We start from the raw sequence: 24929 nt of genomic DNA, 5'->3' as shown, positions 1-24929 counted from the left end.
CATGTTCCTCCTGTTAATCATTCTCCTGACCCAGCAGGAAAATTTAAAAATGGACTTCTCTTGCCTGATTAGCGGTTTGTAATCTGATCTCCTCAATGTATGGATTACATTGGCAGGGGACCCTTTGAATATAGACTATTTTGTTACTTTAAAATAATAATAAATAGCTATTACTTAATAAGCATTTATCATAATTCAGACATTTAAGAACATGATCACAAATACTTACACCTCTATATTTTATAGGTAAAGAAACTAATGAATTTCTCTAATTCATATAGCTTCATATTCAGGAGTCTGTTATTTGAATTTAGATCTCTTTGACTCTCAAAGAGCTCAGTCCTTGGAACTTCACATCCTCTTCCTCTTCTTTTTATAAATCTAATCCTATCCCCTTGATGAGTTAACCATTTTCCTGGCCTTTAATGCCATCTCTATGCCAACAACTTTCAAACTTATACCTCTAGCCCAGACCTCTCTTCTGAACTACATACTTCTTTATTCAATTGCTCATTTGAAATCTTCAGTTAAATATCTACAAGGCATGAAAAAAACCTTAACATACCTAAAGCTGAACTTCTGATTTTCTTACTTTAAATCTACTTACAATCTTCTCCATTTAACCTGGTGGCAACTTCATTCTTCTGTTTGCTCAAAGTAAAAACCTTGGAGTCATCTTTAACTTCTCTTTCTCTCATATCCCAAATTTAAATCATCAGTAAGTCATACCCCCATAGCATGTACAGAATCCAATCACCTCTCACCATTTTTGCTATCATCCAAACCACTATCATTTCTTATCTGGAGAACCATAGCAATCTCCTTTTTCCACCCTTCTATACCTGCACTGTGTTCTCAACTCAACCACCAGAGTCTTTGAAACAAAAAAAAGCGCATATGCTTAAATATGCTGTTCTTCTATTCAAAACCTTTCAGGGGCTCTCCATATGCCTTAGAATAAAAGCCAAAGTCCTCATAGTGACCTATAAGGCTATATATGATTTGAGTCCTCCAACTCCCTTGCTTACCTCATTTCACTTTACTATCAACCTTGTTCAATATGTTCTCTGCTGGCCCCACTGGCCTCTTTGGTGTTCCTTGAAACCTTCTGCAGTAAAACCTTCACACTGACCATTTCATTTTCCTGAAATGCTCTTCCCACAGATATGTATGCCTAACTTCTTCAATACCTTCAAGTTTTTGCTCAGGATTGTCATTTTAAATGAGATTTACCATTTCCAGACTTCCAGTTTGAACACAAAAAGAGGTAATTAAGGAAACTATCCCTTTCATTTTCATTGCATTGTAGACTTATCCTGAAGTTCAAAGTAGTTCATACGTGAGTCAGATAGCATGCATTTTACTTGTGCTCATTTAAGCTATGTGACAAAGTATAACATACAAAATGCTCAGTGAGTGTGATTTGAGATAGAATGTTGGATTGAATTCTTTTGTTCTTGCAATTGCTGAATTGAACACGTAATCAGGACCCAAGAACAACAAGGCAATAGAGCTCTGTGAAGAATGGAATTTCACTAGCCTCTCTTTTATTTGACAAATATTTGTTAGGCCAACACTCTGTGTTAGAAACTGGGATTTATTATAAGGGGGAGGGCAGGAAAGTAATCTATATATTGAAAGAACTCAGGGTTCAGATAAAGAATTAGACAAGAAAGGAGCTAAGAAGGTCTAGGTTAGAGTGAGGCATGAAGAAAGGCATGATCAGTTATATCTGGGAGTGAGACAGGAGGGAAAGTAAATGAGATTAGAAAAGACTTCACAGAAGAGGTGACAATTTGAATATTGAAAGACATACAAAAGTTTGGTACATAAACAATAGGAAGAAGAGCTGTCCAGGGAAAGGAAAACCAAAAACAAAACTATGGAGATTTAAGAATAAGTGTCATATGTTCAGATAATGTAAGTGAATTTCCAAATTATCATTTTCTCACCCATAACGCCGTAAGTATACATGGATATTTAAGTGATCTTTATGTGGAGCTTAGAAATTTCACAAATTTCTAATAACTAATGGATAACTCCCTTAAGTCAAAGGAATTCTCAAAAGGAATTTAGGCACAATGCAGACACATTCTTTAACACAAAGCATTACTGCTTCACATTGTGTCATTACACAGTTACGTCCCTATTGGACTTCTCCTAATCATTAATATTTCTGAACACTCAATGAAAGTAAGATTTAATCCCTTCGGTTTGTTTGCTGCATGCATACCAGATGGCAAAGAAGATCTACATAGCCACTCCGAGAGTAACCACATATTGATAAAAAAATCTGTGAGAAACTCACAGGTGAAAGTCAGTACAAAGTCAAATTCATAGTACCCTATAACTGTAATTGTGGTGTGCAAATCAATTATATCTTTTTTTTTTTTTTTTTTTGAGACGGAGTTTTGCTCTTGTTGCCCAAGGTGGAGTGTAATGGCATGATCTCGGCTCCTGGCAACCTCTGCCTCCCAGTTTCAAGTGATTCTCCTGCCTCAGCCTCCTGAGTAGCCGGGATTACAGGCATGCACCACCATACCCAGCTAATTTTTTGTATTTTTAGTAGAGATAGGTTTCTACATGTTGGTAAGACTGGTCTTGAACACCCGACCTCAGGTGATCTGCCACCTTGGCCTCCCAAAGTGCTGGGATTACAGGCGTGAGCCACCGTTCCCGGCCAATCAATTGTATCTTTAGTATGAAGGTTAAAAGGTAAAACTACTACAATATGGTAGTTTGTTAAGGTATACACGATAAAAAACAAAAGATGTAAAACGTGACATCAAAAATATAAAATGTATGTGTGTGATAAATGTTTGGATGTTTTAATGTGATCAAGGTTAAGTTGTTATCAGCTTGTAATACTCCTCTTGTAACTGTAAGATGTTTTATGTAAGCATTTTGGTAACTATAAGAGATACACAAAAGATTTACAGTAAAAGATTAAAGCATACCAGTAGGGAAAACTGTCTAATCAAAAAGCAAGAGAGCAGACAGAGGAAGAAAGGAACAAAGGATCCATAAAACAATCATAAAATAATTAACAAAATGGTAGTAGTAAGTTCTTATCAATAATTACTTTGAAGGTAAATGGACTAAATTCTCCAATCAAAAGATGTAAAGTAGCTGAATGGATTTTTTAAAAAGAGGGACAACTATATGCTGCCTATAAGGGGCTCACTTCACCAGTAAGGACACATAGGTTGAAAGTGAAAGGATGGAAAAAGATATGCTATGCAAATGGAAACCAAAAGAAAGCAGCAGCAATGTCTTAGTTCATCTTTTGCTGCTATAACAGAATACCTGAAAATTATTAATTTATTATCGATGGAAATTTATTGGCTCATGGTTCTGGAGGCTCGGAAGTCCAAGATCAAGGAGCTGCATCTGGTCACAGCTTTCTTGCTGAGTCATAATATGGCAGAACGTATCACGTGATGAGAGAGATAACAAGAGACAACCAAATTCACTTTCATAACAAACCCACAGTCATGAATTATGAACCCAAACTTTTTAAAAAAATTGTTTATTTGAGCAAATCGTGCATTGTCAATTAGGAAGCACAAAACTGAATGAAGTCAGGCTTTTATGAGATGAATGCAGAAGTAAGAGAAAGACAATATTTGATCCATTACTTTTATACAGTTGCCCTATTTGTTCTTTTCCATTAGAAAGTCTCTAGTTATATGTTACCTGGATGCTTCTGATCGGTTGAGCTTGGGTTTTTAAAAATAAATCTATATTAACCATTTTGCCATCATAATACTCTGGGTAAAAATGTACTGTTACAATGGCAATTTAATCTGAAGCAGAATTTCATGTATTATAGGACCTTTTTTTTCAGCTTTCATTTTAGGTTCACGGGGTACATGTGCAGGTTTGTTATGTGGGTGAACTGTGCATCATTGAGGTTTGGTATAGAAATGATCCTGTCATTCAGGTAGCGAGCACAGTACCGAAAGGGTAGTTTATCAACCCTCACCCCCATCCCACTCTACCCCCTCTAGTAGTCCCCGTTGTCTATTGTTCCTATCTTTATGTCCATGAGTATTCAATGTTTAGCTCCCACTTTTAAGTGAAAACACATGGTATTTAGTTTTCTGTTCCTTTGTTAATTTACTTAGAATTCTGGCCTTCAGCTGCATCCATTTTGCTGTGAAGGGTATGATTTCCTTCTTTTTTATGGCTACACAGTATTTCATGGTGTGTTTTACCACATTTTCTTTATCCAATCCACTGTTGATGGGCACCTATGCTGATTCTATGTCTTTGACATAATGATATGACAATTTATATTCCTTTGGGTATGTATCTAGTAATGGGATTGATGGGTTGAATTGGTGGTTCTATTTTAAGTTCTTTGAGAAATCCCCATACTGTTTTCCACAGTGGCTGAACTAATTTACATTCCCAATAACAGAGTTTAAGCACTCCCTTTTCTCTGCAACCTCACCAACATCTGTTATTTTTTGACTTTTAATTATAGCCATTCTGACTGGTGTGACATGGTATCTCACTGTGGTTTTGACTTGCATTTCTCTAATGATTAGTGATGTTGAACATTTTTCCATGTATTTGTTGGCCACATGTATTTCTTCTTTTGAGAAGTATGTGTGCACGTCCTCTGCCCATTTCTAAAAAGGGTTATTTGGTTTTTGCTTGCTGAATTAAGTTACTATTTATAGGTTGTGTATATTAGACCTTTGTCAGATGCATAATTTGAGAATATTATTACCCTTATGTGGGTTGCCTGTATACTTTGTTGATGGCTTCTTTTTCTGTGCAGAAGCTTTTTAGTTTAATTAGGTCCCCCTTGTCAACTTTTGTTTTTTTTTGCAATTGCTTTTGGGGAATTAGTAATAAATTATTTGCCAAGGCCAATGTCCAGAATGGTATGTCTTAGGTCTTCACCAAGGATTTTTATACTCTTAAGTCTTATATGTAAGCCTTTAATCCACTTTTGATTTTTGTTTTGTTTTGTTTTTGCTTTTGTTTTGAAACAGGGTATTACTCCGTCAACCAGGCTGGAGTACAGTGGTGCCATCACGACTAACTGCAATCTTAACCTCCCAGGATGAAGTCATACTCCCACCTCAACATCTCTAGTAGCTGGGACTATAGGCACATGCCATCACAGTTGACTAATTTTTCTATTTTTGGAGAGACGAGGTCTCTTTATGTTCCCCAGGCTGGTCTCAAATTCCTGGGCTCAATCCTCCAGGCTTAGCCTCCCAAAGTGCTGCGATTACAGTCATGAGCCACACACTTGCCTCTTCAATCCATGATAAGTTAATTTTTGTATATGGTGAAAGACAGGGGTTCAGTTTCATACTTCTGCATGTGGCTAGCCAGCTATTCCAGTACCTTTGGTTGAATAAGGGGTCCTTTATTCCATCTTTTATTTTTGTTGATGTTGTTGAAGATCAGATGGCTGTAGGTGTGCAGCTTTATTTCTGTTTTTTCTGTTCTGTTCCATTGGTCTATTTGTCTGTTTTTGTACCAGTACCACGTTGTTTTGTTTACTATAGGCTTGTAGTATAGTTTGAAGCCAGGTAGTATGATGCCTCCAGTTTTAATTTTTGCTTAGGATATCTTTGGCTATTGAGGCCTTTTTACATATGAATTTCAGCGTATTTTTTTTTTTCCAATTCTGTGAGAAAAAGACATTGGTAGTTTGCTAGAAATAGTACTGAGTCTGTAGATTCCTTTGGGCAGTACAGCCATTTTAATGATATTGATTCTTCCAATCCATGAGTATAGAATATTTTTTCATTTATTTTTATCATCTATAATTTCTTTCATCAGTATTTTGTAGTTTTCCTTAGAGAGATCTTTCATCTCCTTGGTTAGATGTATTCCTGGGTGTTTTATTTCCTTTTTTTCTGGCTATGGTGAATGAGATTGCATTCTTGATTTGGCTGTCAGCTTGAATGTTATTGGTGTACACAAGTGCTACTAATTTTTGTACATTGGCTTTGTATCATGAAACTTCACACCAAATTCATTCATCAGCTATAGGAGTCTTTTGGTGAAGTCATTAATATCATCAGTATAGACATATAACTTTATTTCTTTTCCTATTTGGATGCCTTTTATTTCTTTGTCTTACCTGATTGCTCTGAGTAGAACTTACAGTACTATGTTGAATAGGAGTGGTGAGAGCAGGGGTCCCTGTCTTATTCCAGTTATTAAGTGAAATGCTTCCACCTTTTGCCTATTCAGTGTGATACTGGCTGTGAGTTTGTCATAGATGGCTCTTATTATTTTGAAGTATGTTCTTTCGATCTATTTTCTCATGTTTGTTGATGATTTTTATCATGAAGATTTAGGATTTTTTCAAAAGCTTTTTCTGCATCTATTGAGATGATCATGTAGTTTTTGTTAATTCCGTTTATGTGATGAATCACATGTATTGATTTGCATATGTTGAACCAGCCAAGCATCCCAGAAATAAAGCCTACTTGATAGTGGTGAACTAGCTTTTTGATGTGCTGCTGGATTTTGTTTGCTGATATTTTGAGGATTTTTGCATCTGTGCTCATTACGGATATTGTCCTGTAGTTTTCTTCTGTGTTTGTCACATTTTGGTATTAGAGCGATGCTTGCTTCACAGAATGAGTTAGTAAGAAATGTCCCTTTCTCAAATGGTTTGGAATAGTATCAGTGGGATTGGTACCAGCTCTTCTTTGTATGTCCAGTAGTATTTGGTTGTAAATAAATCTTTTTCAGGCCCAGTTTGGTTGGTAGGTTTTTTTATTACTGATTTGATTTTGCAACTCAATATGTCATTCAAGCTTTTGATTTCTTTCTATTTCAGGCTTGGGATGTTGTGGGCTTCTAGGAATTTATCTGTTTCCTTTAAATTTTCTAGTTTGTGTGCATAGTGGTGCTTATAATAATTTCTGAGCATTTTTTGTATTTCTGTGGGATCATTTGTCATGTCACCTTTGTCATTTCTGATTGCACTAATTTGGATCTTCTCTATTTTTTCTTTGTTAATCTGGCTAGCTGTCTATCAACCTTGTCTATCCCTTCAGTGAGCTAGCTTTTGGTTTCATTGATCCTTTGTATTTATTTTTGGATCTCAATTTTGATGAACCCAATTTGAGATGACAATATTAATCTATTTATGAATGCTGAGCCCTTATGTCCTAATCACTTCTTAAAAGTCCCATCTCTCAACACTTGAATTGGAGGTCAAGTTTCCAGCATATGAACTTTGGAAAACATTCAAACTACAGCAGATAGCTAACTTAATATCAGATAAAATAAACTTTAAGTAAAAACTGTAAGACAAGACAAAGTTGATCATTATATAATGTTAAAGAAACCAATTCATCATGAAAATATAACAATTATAAATACATAGCACCCAACTTCAAAACACCAAAATATATAAAGAAAATATCAATAGATTGTAATATAATAATATGAGGGGATTTTGGTACTCTACTTTCAACAATAAACAGATTGCTCAGACACAAAATCAATAAGGAAACATTGGGCTTGAGCTACACTTTTGACCAAATGGACCTAAGATTTATACAAAACATTTTACTCAACAGCAGCAGTATACACATTCTTTTCCAGTGCACACAGAACATTCTCCAAGATAGATGATTTATTAGTCCACAAAACTCATCTTAACAAATTTCATAAGATTTAAATTATATCAGGTAACTTTTTCAACCACAATGGTATGAGACTAGAAATCAACAATAGGGAGAACTTCAAAAAATTCACAAATACATGAAAATTAAACAACATACTTCCTCCCCCCAAAAAAATGGGTTAAAGAAAAAATTAAAAGGAAAACTCAAAAACATACATTAAGACAAATGACAATAGAAATAAAACATATCAAAACTATGGGATGCAGCAAAGAAATTTTGAAAGAGAAGTTTATAGCAACAAATGTCTACATTAAAAAAGAAGAAAGATCCCAAATAAACAATCTAACTTTATATCTCAAGAAATTAGAAAAGAAAAAGAACAAACCAAGCCCAAAGTTAGTTGAAGGAAGTAAATAATGAAGTTAAAAGCATAAATAAACAAATTAGAGAATAGAACAACTAAAAATGATCAATGACACCAAGAGTTAATTTTTTAAGAAAAGAAAGAAAATCAATAAACTTTAGCTATACTAAATAAAAAAATGAAGACAGAAAACTCAAGTAAATAAAATCAGAAATGCAAAAATGAAAAAGGAGACATTTTAATTGATACCACAGAAACACAAATGATCACATAAAGAATAATTATATGCCAGAAAATTGGATAAAACGAATAGATAAATTTTTAGACAGATAAAATTTACTAAAACTGAATTATGAAAAAATTAAAAATTTGAATAGACCAATATTAATTGTATTAGTACTAAAAATCTCCCATCAAATAACTCAGTACCAGAGTTAGCTTCAATGCTGAATTCTACCAAACATTTAAAGAACCAATACCAATTCTCAAACTCACCCAAAAAATTGAAGAGTAGGAAAAACTTTCAAAGTCATATTGAGGCCAGCATTGCCTTTGTACCCAAGCCAGACAACGGTACTACAAAATAAATTAAAAGCCAGTACAGCACATGATCTTTGATGAACATATATGAAAAAATCCTAAACAAAATTATGGCACACCAAATTCACCAACACATTAAAAGTACCATTCATCACGATAAAGTGGTATTTATCCTTGGTATGCAAGGATGATTCAACATATGCTAATCAGTAAATGTGATTACATACATCACATTTTCAGAATGAATAACAAAAAAAATCATCTCCATAGATGTAGGAGAGGCATGCAAAAAAATTCAGCATCTTTTTATGATAAAAACTCCAAAGAAATTAGGTATAGAAGGAATGTACCTCAACACAATAAAGACAATACGTGACAAGCCCAGAGCTAACATCATATCAAATAGTGAAAAGGTGAAAGCTTTTCCATGAAAATCAGGAAAAGGATAAGGATGCCCACTCTCACCACTTCAATTCAACATAGTATTGAATGTCCTAACCAGAGCATTTAGGCAAGAGAAAGAAATAAAAGGCATTCAGATCACCAAAAAAAGTTAAATTGTGTTTGTTTGCAGAAGTGATTTTATATATAGAAAACCCTAAAGACTCTACCAAAAATTGTTACAATAATCAAATTTAGTAAAGTTGCAAAATAGAAATTAATATACAAAAATTAATAGCATTTCTATACACTAGCAATGAACCAGCCAAAAAAATAAATAAAGAAAACGCTTACAATCAAAAAATTATTTACAATGATTACAAAGAAAAATAAAGTGCTTAGGAATAAATTTAACCAAGAAGGTGAAGAACCCATACTCTAAACATTATAAACATTGAAAAAGAAATTGAAGAAGACACAAATAAATGGAAATATATCCCATGTTCGTGGATTGGAAGACTTAATATTGTTAAAATGTCCATAAAACCCAGAGTGATCTACAGATTCCATGCAATCTCTGTAAAATTCCAATTAAGTTTCTTTTTGTGAAATAGAAAAGACAATCCCAAAATTTATATGGAACAACCAAGGACCTTGAATAGCCAAAGTAATCTTGAGCAAAACGAACAAAGTAAAGGCATCAGACTACCTGATTTGAAAATCTATTAAATATTACAAAGTTAAAGTTATTAAAACAGTATGGTAGTGGAATAAATACAGACATATACATCAGCGGAACATAATAGAGAGCTCAGAAAGAAATCCAGTCATATATGGCCAATGATGCCAAGAGTACACAATGGAGAAAGGTCAATCTCTTCAATAAATAGTGCTGTGAAAATTGGATATCCACATGGCAAAAGAATAAATTAATCCTTCCCACACTATATACAAAAGTCAACACACAGTGAATTACACACTTAAACATAAGAGCTGAAACTAAAACTACTAGGAGAAAACATAAGGAAAAATTTCCATGACATTAGTCTGAGCAAATATTTTTTGTACTATGACACCACAAGCAGAGGCAACAAAAACAAAATAGACAAATGGGATTAAACTAAAAAGCTTCAGCAGAGCAAAGGAAACAATCAGCAAAGTGAACAAACAAACTACTAAATATGTGAATATATTTGCACATCATAATCTGATAGGGGACTTATATCCAAAATATATAAGAAATTCAAACAACTAAATAGTAAAAAAACAAATAAAGGACCAGACTAGACATCTCTCATATAAAGACATACAAATGGCCAACAGTTAAATGAAAGTTCCTCAACATCACTAATCATAGAAATGCAAATTATAACCACAAAGAAACATCACATCGTTGTTATAATAGTTTTTATAAAAAGACAAAATATAACAAGTATTGGCAAAGCTGTGGAGAAAGAGCAACCTTTGTACCTCTGTTGGTGGAAAATATGGAAACCAGTATGGAAGTCTCTTAAAAATTAAAAATAGTAGTGCCCTATGATCCAGCAATCTCGCTATCCAAAGAATATGAAATAAATACGTCAAAGAGATAGCCACACTCTCATGTTGATTGCAGTTTGTAGTATTATTTATAATAGCCAAATAGCCAAACTATGAAATCAACTTAAGTGTTCATCAATGGATGAATGCATGAAGAAAATGTTATATATATATATAATATATATGTTATATATATTTTATATATGTTATATATATATTTACATATGCAATGTAATACTATTTAGCTTTAAAAAACAAAAGAATTCCTGTCATTCATGACAGCATGTATGAACCTGAAGGTTATTATGTTATGCCATGTTATGTTAAATAAAATAAGCCAGGCACAGAAATACACATACAGTATGATCTCCCTTATATGTGGAGTGAAAATGTTAGACTGATCAAAATAGAGAGTAAAGTGGTGGTTACCAGAGACAGAGTAGTCAGAGATTTGGAAGATGTTGTTCAAAGGACATAACCTTTTAGTTAGATGGGAAGAATAAGTTTAAGATATCTATTGTACATGGTGACTACAGTTAATAGCAATGTATTATACATTTGAAAATTGTTCTCACCACAAAATAATGATGTTTGTGAGGTAATATATATCTTAAATAGCTTGCTTTAGCCAGACATTCCACAATGTATACATATATCAAAATATTATGTTGTACACCATATATTTATACAATTTTACTTGTCAATTAAAAAAAAAAAAAGACTGGTGAGTTTTCTGGTATGCTTTCCAGATGTCTTTACAAGGGATGTTGGAAGTCAAGTAATTCATGATTCACAGTGCTCTTCCTTTATTTATCTGGATGAATCCAATTTTGAACATATTTTAAGTACTATATTCTATTTAGACCAAAGAATATCAAGGCTATTATTTACACAAATGAAAATGATCCATATATTTTCTTTGGTTTTCATCAATGCATTACTCTGCAGGGCAAGGCTATCTTGATTGGGTATTATAAGCACAATCTAAATCTCTTTTAAAGTGTCTATTTGTCCAAATCCCTAGACATCAAGTTGAAAGTGCATTATGTTTTTTGTTCTCTTATTTGCTTTTCTAAATAGAACCCAAGTTTCTTCTTTCTATTGTGTTTTCTGGAAAGATGAGAAGATTTGGGTTTTGTTTGTCTTTATTTAGACAATGAAAACTTCATTCTCTTCTCATGTTTCCAGGAGAGTTCAGGAAGTTAGCAGTAGACTCTTGGTAGCCCTCAGGATTCAAATGTATGCTACATAAGTAAATAGGTTTAACTCTGTTGCATCCTAAATGTCACTAAAATACTAGAAAGCAAAGTTTCAAAATATGTGTAACACTGGAAAGCAAAAATTATCCAATACCAGACAACAAAAATGGTAACTATCTGGAAAGAGAATGGAATGTTATAAATACTTTATGCAGTGTGATAATCTTTCACTCAGATATTTAGTCTAATTACAATTAATGTAATTAATGAATGTTTGCATTACACTATTTTATTATTGGTTTAGGTAGATAGATTATAGATACATATTCCATTTCTTTTATACTTTTTTCTCTCCATTCATTTGTATGTATAAGTTTTAATCATTTACTATGTCTTCTCTGTTAGAATCTTAGTATTTATTCTTCAGTATTTCATCTTTGAATATCCTATAGATCATAAAATTCATACTTATGACAGTCGAATATAGATAGCTTTAACCACTTACTAGACAGCCCTATGACTTTAGAACACCTTGTCCTTCTACCTCCTTTGTGTATTTTACTTTATTGTTCTTAGCATTTTTAATTCCTTACACATTTTGATTGTATAAGATAGTATTATAATTACTTTTTATGTATATATTAGTTTTCTTCTTTTGTTGCCTGCAAAATTTATTTCTCTTTAGTTTCTGAAGTTTGTTGTTACTAGAGTAGGTTGTTTTTCTTCTTTAATTTGTGGAGTTTTTTCCTATACCTTCCTGATTAATGATGGTCAGTGTCTCCATAGAGTTGACTTTATCAAGTCATTTCAATTCCATTTGTATGCTTCTATAGGGCCAAGGCTATATCATCTATTTCTGTGTAGGCATTAAAATTGAAGGCCAACCTCTGTGACATACACCCCAGGAGGGGAAAAACAGTCAAAACACTGATGCTCAGTACCCTCAACTCCTGTCTATTGTGGTATCATACATTGAATTTAATAGTCTGGCTTTAAATTTCATTTTATTCTAGATCTCAGGTGCTTTTATTTCTCCTTACATGCTTATATGGGAATTTCGTAGGGTTTCTCACACTTTTTTTCTTATCTGTTTACACAGTTTTCTGTACATTTATAATAGAAGATATAGTGCACATTCTAATTGTTTGTTATGTTGCCATAACTGGACCAAAGATATTGTGTTAAATTAAACAAATACTTAGTCACAATACAAAATATATTGTATGAATCCATTCAATTTTTTAAAATGCTCTCAAATGTTTAGAAAATTTTGGAATAGGAACAGAATCCAGAGTTAAGTATTATATTGGGGAGAGGAGGGAGATTGGGAAACACATAGAATTAAACATTAATTTTTATTTTATATTTTCCAGTGCAATATTGACTTTTTAAATCTTCCAATTACAATTCCATATAAAAAATAGGCTTAAAAATAAAAATCAAGGGCTACTTATTTGCAAAGATTCATAAAATAGACAACTCTTTTGTTAAGTCTGATGAAAGGGGAAAAAAGAGTACTAGAATGAAAATTGTTAGTATGAAATAATGAGCATAATTACAGGAACATAACGTATTTTAGAAATTTGTGACATTTTATGCAAATGCATGAAATAATATTAAAAATTATAACAACATGTAAGACTGACAAAAATATACATTACAAAATTTGATTCAAGAATAGGTAGAAAATTTAAATAGTTCAATAACAATTTAGAAAGTGAATTTCGGCAAATACTTGACACAAAAATAAAAATTTAGCTCTAATTTCACTGGCAAGTTTTAGTAACCTATTTATTAACAGATAACTTCTAAGTTATTTAATTTATTAATCAGCAAATAATACATGAATCTAGTTTTAATGGACCTTTCTCACTCAGTCTATGAACCTGGCAAAATCATTGTTCCAAAAATGCAAATTAATCACATATAGAAAAATAAAAACTATCGACAAATTTTATTCAAAAATATAAATTCAGATTCCAAACTATTATAAAAAATTACATATTTAGTGTGCCATGATTAAGTAGAATTTGTTCAGGATGATATGAATTAGGACAACTGTTGATGTAATTCTCTACTTGATAATGTGAAAGGAGAAAATACATGATAATGACACTATATGAAAGAAGTCATTTGATAATACTCAACGCAAATTTATAGTAAAACTAAAAATGTACTCTTGACAAACTGCAAATAGGAAAAACTGCCTCACTTGATAAAGAACGTCTTTGATAATACTGTAAGAATTCATAATAAAAGTAAAACTGGCCTGCTATAACTAGTACCATTTATTCAATATTGACTGCACTGGACTACTTAATTTAAATACAGATAAAAAATTACAAAGTATAAGTAATGGAAAGGATTTGTGAACTTGCAGTAAGGTGCAAGCAATGTGATTTTCTATACCTAAAGGTCAAAACAATCAAATAAAACTTTTAGAAGTAGTAATCTAGTTTATGAACTTAACAGGACACAAATCAGTATACAAAAATTAATGGTTTTCCTTTAACACATTAACATTCAATTAAAAATAGCAATTAAAGACAATTATAGCCATAATAATAGCAAAAACTATAAAAAACTAGAGATAAACTTAATATAAAGTAAAAAAGGATTATAAACCACTTATAAATCTTTACTTTAGGAGAGCAAAGAATAATAAAGGAAGAAACATACTCTGCCCTTGCATGAAAATACTCAAATATGTTAGATGAGTCTTTCTTCTTGAAATTATTCTACAAGCTCCAGTATTGTCTCGATTAACATAAAATACACTTCTAACAAAGTTTGATAAGCTGATTCTAAAGATTATCTGGAAAATTAATGTATTATAAATGCAAAGGAAATTTTGAAAGAAAAAATAAGAATTTTTCTTATCAGTATTTTCAGTATGCCAAAATTAGATTACTTAAAACACTATGGAATTGAAAGAGGTAACACACACACACACACACACACACACATATGTGTGTGTATATATATGATATTATAAACACACATATATAGAGAGAATGTACTTGAATATATATGTATATATATTCAAATACATAGGATAAAGGTAGCATTTCACATTTATGGTGAAAGGATGACCTGTTTTATAAGTTATTTCTGGATATTTGCTATTATTTGGAAAACTATAAAAATATATCCTTACTTACTCTTACACACTAAATAATGCCAAAAGAACCTAAGAGCTATATGTCAAAATAAACAAAAAATAGATCCCTTGGAATTACAAAAAGAAAATGTACTATGTTATTATTATAATTTGGGGATGAAAAAGGGCTTTCTATGCAAAATTCTGTCCAGAATTTTTTTTTTTTGGCAGAATTTTGCTTTTGTTGCCCAGATTGGAGTGCAATGGTGTGATCTCAGCTCACCAGAAACTCCGCCTCCCAGGTTCCAATGATTCTCCTGCCTCAGCCTCCCCAGTAGCTGGGATTACAGGCATGCACCACCATGCCCAGCTAATTTTGTATTTTTAGTGGAGATGGGGTTTCTCCATGTTGGTCAGGCTGGACTGACATCATGTTAGTTAAAAATATTTTATATAGTAAAATATATGATAATAAAAATTAAAAGAAAAGTGAAAAACTGGAAATATACTATTTTGATATATGTATATATTATAAAAATGATCACCACAATCAAGCTAATTGACATATCCATCACCTGACATACCTGTGTGTGTGTGTGTCTGTGTGTGTTGTAAGAATACTGAATATCTATTCTCTTAGCAAATTTCAAGCATATAATACATGATTATTAACTATAGTCATCCTACTGCACATCAGGTCTCCAGAACTTATTCCTTATGATTCAAAGTGTGCATCCTTGGACCAATAGCTCTCCATTTCTCCCACCCCATAACTTCTGGTAACCACCCTTCTACTCTATTTTCATGAGTTCTACTTTTTTATATTCCACATACAAGTCAGATCATGCAGTATATGTCTTTCTATGTCTGACTTATTTCTCTAAGCAGAAGGTCCTCCAGTTTCATTCTTCTTCTTGTAAATAGCAGAATTTTATTTCCGTTTAGGATGAATAATTTTCCATTGTATGTGTGTGTGTGTGCTTGTGTGTGTATGTGTGTGTATATATATATTCCTTATCTCTTTTATTTATCCATTAATTCGTTGACAGACAGGTTGTTTCTGTATTTTGGCTACTGTGAATAATGTTTCAGTGAACATCAGAATGCAGATATCTCTCTGAGATAGTGGTTTAATTCCCTCTGGATATTATACCCAGAATGTTCATAAATGTAAATGAGTGAATTCTGTTTGGAAGTTAAATAGTCATTATGTATCATAATTTAAAATACATATATTTTAAGAAATATTTTCACACCTGTTTTTTAAGCATCATTTGTAATAGCCAACTTTAGAAACAATCCACATGTCATTCCAAAGAAGCTGTTTAAATTATTTATAAAATATCTTTATTAGGGAATACTCTGTAGGGACTGAGAAAAATAAAGTAGACCTCTATGTAGTAACATGGAAAGCTCCCCAAACCCAAAGCCTGTGCGAAGTATAAACCATGTTTTAAATCCTATTATTGGTCAACTTTTGTTTTTAACAGCATTTTAATTAAGCTTATTGTAGTCAAATTATCTGTATTCAGTTTTAAATAACATGAATTACTTTTCATATGTGAGTTGAGGAATTCACTTCTACCTTAGCTTTCTTTATTCTTCATCCACAAAACTCCTCTACTATTACCCAGCATTTTGCTGATATAATCTGGGTTTTAAGATTCACATAATTAATATTAATATTATATACCAATGCCATATTTGCAATAGTTGTTTATAATTAACTATGCTCAAGAGATTTCAATGTTATCTATTAGTTCTTTTGTTTTTTGTGTGTGTGTGTTTAACCATAATTTTTTATTCGTGTTTTTAAAATTCAGCATCTAGTTGGCCAATGTTATTTTTACTTAATAGTGTGTGAGCTGATACTTAGAGACATAGTGACCAGGCATTTGCATATATGTGGCCCTTTCTTCTGTTGCTTTTTGCAGTATAGAGTTCTTAGTGTAGTGTACAATTTTATGTTTCTTTGTTTGTATTGAGATGGAGTCTCACGCTTGTCACCCAGGCTGGAGTGCAGTGGCACGATCTCGGCTCACTGCAATCTCCACCTCCCAGGTTCAAGCAATTCTCCTGTCTCAGCCTCCCAAATAGCCGGGACTACAGGCACTCACCTCCACGTCTAGCTAATTTTTGTATTTTTAGTAGAGATGAGTTTGCACCATATTGGTTAGGCTGGTCTCGAACTCCTGACCTCAGGTGATCCACCCCCCCGTCAGCATCCGAAAGTGCTGGGATTACAGGTGTGAGCCACTGTGCCCAGCTTGTTTTGTTTTTAAAAAGCTCCATGGGTGTTCTTTTCCATGTTTAGTGTTTAGGAAGCAAAGTATGTAGCTAACTTAATTTTTTCTAACTTTTGGAGTTTGTCTTTATTTAAGTTTGTCTGGTGTCTTTAAGTCACCAGAACACTTATTCTTCATCAGTTTTCATTAATTTGCTGAACACTTTATATTCACAGAATGGAATAATAGCAGTAAAAAAGAAGGAACTGCTACACTCAGCAACATGGATAATATCATAGGCCTGCTGTCAGGTGAAGGAAGACAAATAGGTTTCCGTTTAAATAAAACTCAAGATAAACTAATCAATGTTGATTAAACTGGATTAATAACACTTTCTAGGGAGAAGCAAATATTATATGTCTCTATCCCTATGGTATTTACATGGACTGACTCATGTAAAACATATCAAGTTATACTTTTAAGATATGAGAAATTCACTGTTTGAATTATATCTTCTTTCCAACTGCCATATTTTTACTGAGTAAAATAATAGAGTTAATGGGATTTAAGATGATCAAATTGCTAAACAATTTTTCTTTTCTTTTTAGAAATATCTTTTGTACCTTTTCTTGTATCTTACCATTATTAATGAGGCACCACACTTGGTAGGTCTCTTGAATTTTGGAAACAAAGGATAACTAAAGTTTGATGTGTTTTGTTCACGGATTTACTGGGAGACCTAAAATACTGCCGTCCTTTGAGAAGATCTCATAGCAGGTAATGACTCTCCAGCAGGTCTCAGCTGCAATTAAAGCAGCTCATCCACATTTGCCCTCATGAACCTGCATATCTAGTATCACTCAATGTGTTGACAGCCGACCAGAAAGCTGTATGTAGCTTGTGGCAAACCTTTGAAGGTTGAATCACAGTAAAGTCTCCTAGGGTTTTGAAGCAAATTTATAACCCCTTTGGCAAACAACTGTTCTGGTTTTCAAAGCAATTCATGGCTTCTTATTAAGGCCTTGTTATAGAGCCTAGAGTAGGTATGGATAAACTACAGTCCCCAAGACGATCTGGCCTGTTTTTATGTAGCCTGTGAGCTAAGAATGGTTTTCATATTTGTAAAGGATTAAATAAAAAGTGGAACAATATTTTATAATATCTTAAAATTACATAAAACTAAAATTGTGGTGTCTGTAAATAAAGTTTTATTACAACACGACGATACTCATTCAGTTACCTATTGTCTATAGCTGCTTTCACACTACCATAGTAGAATTGACTTTAGGCTGTTAGACTGTCTAGTCCCCAAAACCTAAAATATTTACTATGTAGCCCCTTTCAGAAGTTTGCCAACCTGTTGACTAGATGCAGATGCCTGGTTATGAGTCATCAGGTAATTCTACTAAGTAGTTTTCCTATTATGTCTTGACTGTTTTCTGGTTCACTTTGATGTAAAATTGAGAGTTCCTAGCAGCTGTCCATTACCAATTGGAAATGTATTTACATAACTGCTCATGCATGTTCTGATTTTGCAAGTAAATTGCATAAGTTATTTCATATTCCCATTGTCTTACATGTCAGGATTATGTCACCCTTCAGCTTACATCTATGGTCACCTGGAAAATTAACTGTAAATATCTCATTCAAGAGGAAAATAAATCAAGCCTGGTTTATCCATGGCTCTGCACAGAAGATTGGTATAACCAGAAGTGGTCTAAAGAGTGTTCTTGTCTCACTCAGGGAGGATATTGCAGAGGAGTGAGGAGATATTCTTCCCACTGAGTAGAAAATTGGTAATATATCTCAAAATTCATTTCCTTGGAGAAGAGATGACTTGAAGTAATAAGCTATTAGAAGTTTATTAGCAGTGGCTAATTATCTAGCCAGAAGACACATGGAGAAATCTTCCAAAGTAGGCTTAAAATGTAAGACTGTCTATGGGGATGACCAAAACCAAAGTAAAATAAATCAACCAACAGAAAGGAAACCACTCCAGAAGAGAAATTTACTATCTAAATGGAATAGATGTAGGTCCAGCCCCATTCTTTAGCCATCCAAGCAGCTTCCCAATAGGTTCAACTAAGTGGTTATAGAGGCAAGGATGGAGTCTGTTTATGTGTTCACAACTGCACTTCAAATCTGTCTTCCTCTACCACTGAGTGTCAAATTTTTCATTAGCAGCAATCAATTCTGAGCCCCAGGAGGTTTACCCTGTTCTTACAGGAGCAGATACCTAGTAGTAGATTTTGTGTTTATATTTGACCCCAATCATGAAAGAAGCAGTACTCACCAGAATAAACCTTTAACTCTCTTGATATGCATTCCCTGTATCTTATGGTTATGATGCAGGACAGGTGAGCCCCAAAATTGGGAATTGGGGCTTAGCCTGGGAGGGTTCTTGGCTTTGCTCAGGAAAGAATTCAAGAGTGAGAGGTGTTATATAGTAAACTTTATTGAACCAGAGCTACTCTTTGCAGAGAAGGAATAATTCATACACAGTGTGCTCAGAGTCTGCAGTTTATGGGCAGTTGGCAACTATGTGTATACCTATTTATAGAAACTTTTAATTACATGCAATTAGAGGGTGAGTTATTCAGAAATATCTAGAAAAGGGGTGGTAGCTTCTAGGTCATTGCCATGGAAATAAGAAGTAACTTGCAGACTGTTGCCATAGCATTTGTAAACTTTCATGACACTGGTGGGACTGTCTTATGCCAATGAACAGCAAAGACAACTAGAGGTTGCCTTTAGCACCATCGGCTGAATCCTGCCAATTTATTCACTGTATCCTGTTGGGACTAGGAAATAAGTCCTGTCAGTCTCCTACCTCATTTCCCCCTCAGAGATTAGATACTCTTCTTTAATCTTAAGGAAGCTACAAAAGGGTGGGACCCCATCTTCTGTAACCACTTTCTGCTGACTTTACGGACATAGGCCCTGCCTGATTGGATGAGTAAAAATCTCTAGATACCTGATATAAGGGCCCCAAGGACAGGATATTTTCATTCTCTAAGTCAAAAGACAGGATGAGTTGGAAGTCGTATGCTAGAATTGTCTTTACATGGAATTGCTGTACTCTAGAAAATACAAACTTCACAAGGAGGTTAAACAATCAAGGGGCAAAAAATAATAGTAAAAAGATAGCTATCACAGGTCCCAGGAAGGGTAAAAAAACAGGTGAGACTTGGGAGGACACTTTTGATAGTGGACTAGACATAGTTGAGGTCAGTTCCCTGGTTATATATAGGTAACCAGGTGAAATTAATCCTCAGGGGATCCTTCTTTCCAAGTTTTTAATAGGACTACGTCTCCTGGTTCAACAGGGGAGATATTCTTTTTCTTTGGGGGAAATGGCAATATTTTATTTTTATATTTTTGAAAGACCTTTTGAACCTGGCCTAAATTCTAAAAGGGACACAAGTGAAGTATGTCCATCACCCTGTTTGTCATCATGACCCAAATTAGGTTTTTAGGTTCTTTTGTTTTGTTTTGTATTGTTTTTTAGACAAGGTTTGGCTCTGTTGCCTGGGCTGGAGTGCAGTGGTGCAATCTTGGCTCATGGCAACCTTCACCCCTTGGACTCAAGCAATCCTTCTCCATCAGCCTCCTGAGTAGCTGGGACCACAGGTGTGCACTACAGGACCTGGCTAATTTTTGTAATTTTAGTAGAAACAGGGCTTTGGCATGTTGCCCTGGCTGGTCTAGAACTCCTGGCCTAAAATATCCCACCTTCCTTGGCATCCCAAATTGCTAGAATTACAAATGTGAGCCACCACACCTGGCCAAGATTTTTGGTTTCTATAGCAAATTAAACATTTTAGACCAGATTGAAATGGAGGTGGGAAGGCAGTCATTACTCCTTATAAACTTTTTTAAAGAAATAAAAGATTGAAAAACCAAAAACCAAAAATAAGGTGACATATGAAAAAGGTCAAGTTATACTGGGGGAAAACATTGTTTTTATAGAACTCCAAGATAAAATATTTTATCATCATGTTATAACAACAGTTAGAACCAGAGGAGAAAAAGTTACAAGTGCTGACGAAAGCTCAAGAGAGTTATAGCTCAGTCTTTATCAAAAGGAGAAAAAATTGATAGCAGTGAGATAAAGCAACAATTGAACCTCTGAGATATAAATTGGAGAACGTTTTTAAAGAAACAGTTTACAGAATTGTACAGGAAATCAATAACTTAAAATCTTGTTTTAATATGAAGACTGTTTTTAGGAAGACTATTATAAATAATTCTTTGTTAATTATAGCTAATTACACACAATTATTTTTCGTGAATTCATCTTTACAAACATTATCACAATTCATATAGACTATCTATGACATGCTTGGACTTTCTGACTTGTCTTACACTACCTCTTCCTTAAATAGCCAGTCATTTTATTCTAGGACAAGAATTTACCATACCGGATTTTTCCTCATATAACATTACTTTTTATATGCTTTCTTACCAAGAATACATCTTTATATTCTTTAACTTTCTTCACATCTGTCTTTCAATGCGCTGGTTCATTTTTTATTTTATAACTAAAAGACCATATAAAACCAATCACTATGTAAAGCCACTTTTCTGTTAGCCATTATAAAGCCTGTGAACATTAGTGGTTCACCTAGGTAAGAGTCTTAAAGTTAAACTGTAAAAGACACAACATTCCCATCAAACTAATAATCTTATACAAGGCTCATTTACCCAAAGATTACCAAGTCACATGTGCCTGAGAAGCATTTAATCTTATTTGTTTTGTTTATGTGCACCCTTTTATGTATAAGTCATTTGATAGCATACGAGACACAACACATATCACAATACCTGTGTGTACACATAAACAGAAACACATAAAGCTACCTATACAAGATAGCTGCGTCCAAATTATTTACATAATTGGGACCTGTCTATCTGGCCAAATTTTGTGTGCCATGATAGCTATGAAAGACAAGCAGAGGCAGAGAAGGGGGATCCTGTAGTATTAAATGAGAAAGGGAAGGGGCAAACTATGTTGCTTAAGGGGTGACCTCTCTGGGTGAGCTACCAGAGAGTTCACCCAGTAATGGAGATACTGAAGGAAAATGTTTGGGTGGCTGCTTGTCTACCAGTATAGGAAACTATCTGTTGGATCAAGGTTCCAGGACCCCCAAGTATTTTTACTTGAGCAAGGCAACACATTGGGGGTAAATGGAAAAAGTTTAGCTCTAGTATTGATGGAGAGCTTTCTCCATTTCTCATCAAGAATAGTTAGGATGTTCTCATTGCCAGTGGCCCTCTTGTTCAGAGTAGGCACACTGATTCTGGCCCAGGGGCTGTCAAGCTGGGGGCTCTCATCTGGGCATCTCCGATATGGATCTTGTGACACCACTTCAGAATGGGTAACCCTAGGTGGCAGGGGGCTTAAAGCAGCCACTACCTATTACATTTTCTATTTTTTCCCACTTTTTTGCTATTATCTATTGCTGTAAAACCAAAAAGGCCAAGTTTAATGGTTGGCTTATAGGAGTTTGGGGTCCACTACTGGTTTTTGTAGCTTTCTCCTAATGTCAGGGGCAAATTGAGTAATAAAATGCATACCCAGGAGAGCTTGCCTTTCCAGGGAATCTGGGTCTGCATTAGTATATTTCCTAAGTACCTCAACCAAATGGTGCTGAAACAGAGTGGGATTTTTATTCTTTCTCTAAGTTACTTCTCTAACCTTGTCATGATTAACTGGCTTAATCATACACTTTTCTATATCTTCTATTAAATAAGTAACCATGTAATTTCTGTGTTCAAGATCTTGGGAACCCCCTTTGTTATTTCAAGGAGGGTCTAGATCTGGAAATGCATCTCTTCTCATGTGATCATTGGAATGGACTTGGTTACATGTGGCCACTCCATCTGCACGTTCACAGGTTGCACTCAGAATCTTCCACTTTTCCTCCACAGCACAACAATTAGATGTCAATACTGGCAATTCATGCCAAGTTAAATCAAAGAACATGGCCAACTTAACAAACTCTTCTATAAACTTCCTGGATTCTCTGAAAACTGGCCAAATTTCTCCTCACATAAAGCCAAATCAGACATAGAAAATGGCATCTGTACTCAAAGTGTTCCTGCATCTCCATTAGCTACCTCCTGCAATGGACACAGATTTAATTTTAGGGGCTGATATGGGGCCCCACTCCTGGTGGTACTGATTGGGCTACTTCTTTGAGAAACAAGGGGTATAGGCTGGGGCTAGTTGGATAAGAGGGAGGGATGCCTGATGATCTAGGGGTGGAATCCTGCATTATAGAACTAATGGGACCCCCCTTCAGGATTGGAGGACTGAGGAGACTCTGAGGAGGGTGTAGGCCTTCTACAGGGAGCAGCTAGAAGCAGATCCCTTAGGTGTTGCTTCTGGGTGCCTGGCAGTAACATAAGCCAGTAAAAGGCCATAAAAGTCTGTACAGACGGTACCTTCCTGATTTTCCTTTTTTTTTTAAATAAAATAAGTCCAACTGTCAAATAGTATTTTGACATGAAGAACCATTTTTAGAATAAATTTTTTGGTCTCCCAATGTGTACTGCACACTAATGGTGTTACACTAGAAAATGAGTTTGTTTTCTTTAAGCCTAATTTGAATTTGCTCCAGTTACCCAGAAGACACCCTAATGGTGAATCCTCTGGGATGCTTGCCATTGTCCTTGTGTGTAACAAGTATCTTTTCGAGACACAGAAGTTTTTCTAAGTCTAGCAAGAGGAAAAGCAACTGGGCTCTCATTATTCTTCTCTTTCAGATTTTTACCTCCTGCAGAGAAGGTGTAAGTATAGGTAGCAAAGTGCTACAAAAATGGATTGTGAGATACAGGCAGGCATTAGAGTACTGTGCTTGCCAGCAAATGAAATATGACAAAAGAGATATTTTTACTAGGCAAAGTATAAAAGGAAAAGTGAAAATAGAGTGATGAAACTCTAGGGCAGAAATCAGGAAAAGACAAGCCTGGGATTCCTCTCAAGTGGGCCTCTAACCTACAATCCAAGAAGGAATGCAAATGCTGAGAACTCTGGAGCATCTGGGGGCAGCCAAAGATACTCAGTGCCAAGAAACCTGGAGCACCTGAATATCAGTCAATGAGTGTCCTCAAACCAAATGACAAAAATCCTGTAGTATTTAGGGGCTGACCATGCTGAAAACCCTGAAACATCCAGGGGACAGCCATGAGTGAACCCCAAACACTTGATTGGGGCCACACAGCAATATGACTCTGGTATTCCAGAGTCAACACAATTGGGGATCTCTTACAACCTGGTGTCCTGCTTAAATAATTACCCAAATAAAACTATCAGGGAGCTAAAGCCAGAAAAAAAAATTCCTGCAATCAAAACATAAATATCAGAGCAGAAAAGAAAATGAAATAAAATGACTGACAGAAAAATGTAATGGCTTTGGAGAAGAAAGGACCAAGAGAAGGGACGACAAAGGATATAGTTGGTCAGGCACGCTACAGGGGACTTTGAATTGACTACCTAGCCAGAGCCCCTAATATCTTGGCTCACCTGATATTGGTGGGGGTAGAGGGGACACTCACCAGTCCACAGGAGCCAAAATGTCACTGATCATTCTCCAACTTCGGGCTAAGGTGGAGGTCTTCCCCAGGTTCCCCCAGCTTGGGTAGGTTTGGCTGCTGTGAGGGGACCAGCCCGTGGTCCTGTGAACAACCCACTGGATTGGTGGGTCTCACAGGAGGCAGCATTGTGGCTGCTCACCCATCCAATTGGCCCCACAGCCTGTCAGGAAAGATAATGGCTCTTCAAAGAGCCTTTGGTTAGTGTTACAGCTCTGCAGTGTTAGCACCTCTTTATTGTTACTGCTGCCATCTCTCACCGTCTAGCCAATTGTTATCTCACCATCTCTGGGTATCTAGCTGATTGCCCTCTCACCATCTCTCACTGTCTAGCCAACTGCTGTCTTGCCATCTCACTGATGGCTGATC

The sequence above is a fragment of the Homo sapiens genome, chromosome 2 (assembly GCF_000001405.40).
Source record: "Homo sapiens chromosome 2, GRCh38.p14 Primary Assembly".
Lineage (NCBI taxonomy): Eukaryota > Metazoa > Chordata > Mammalia > Primates > Hominidae > Homo > Homo sapiens.
The sequence above is the reverse complement of the archived record's forward strand: the minus strand, read 5'-3'. Positions refer to the sequence as shown.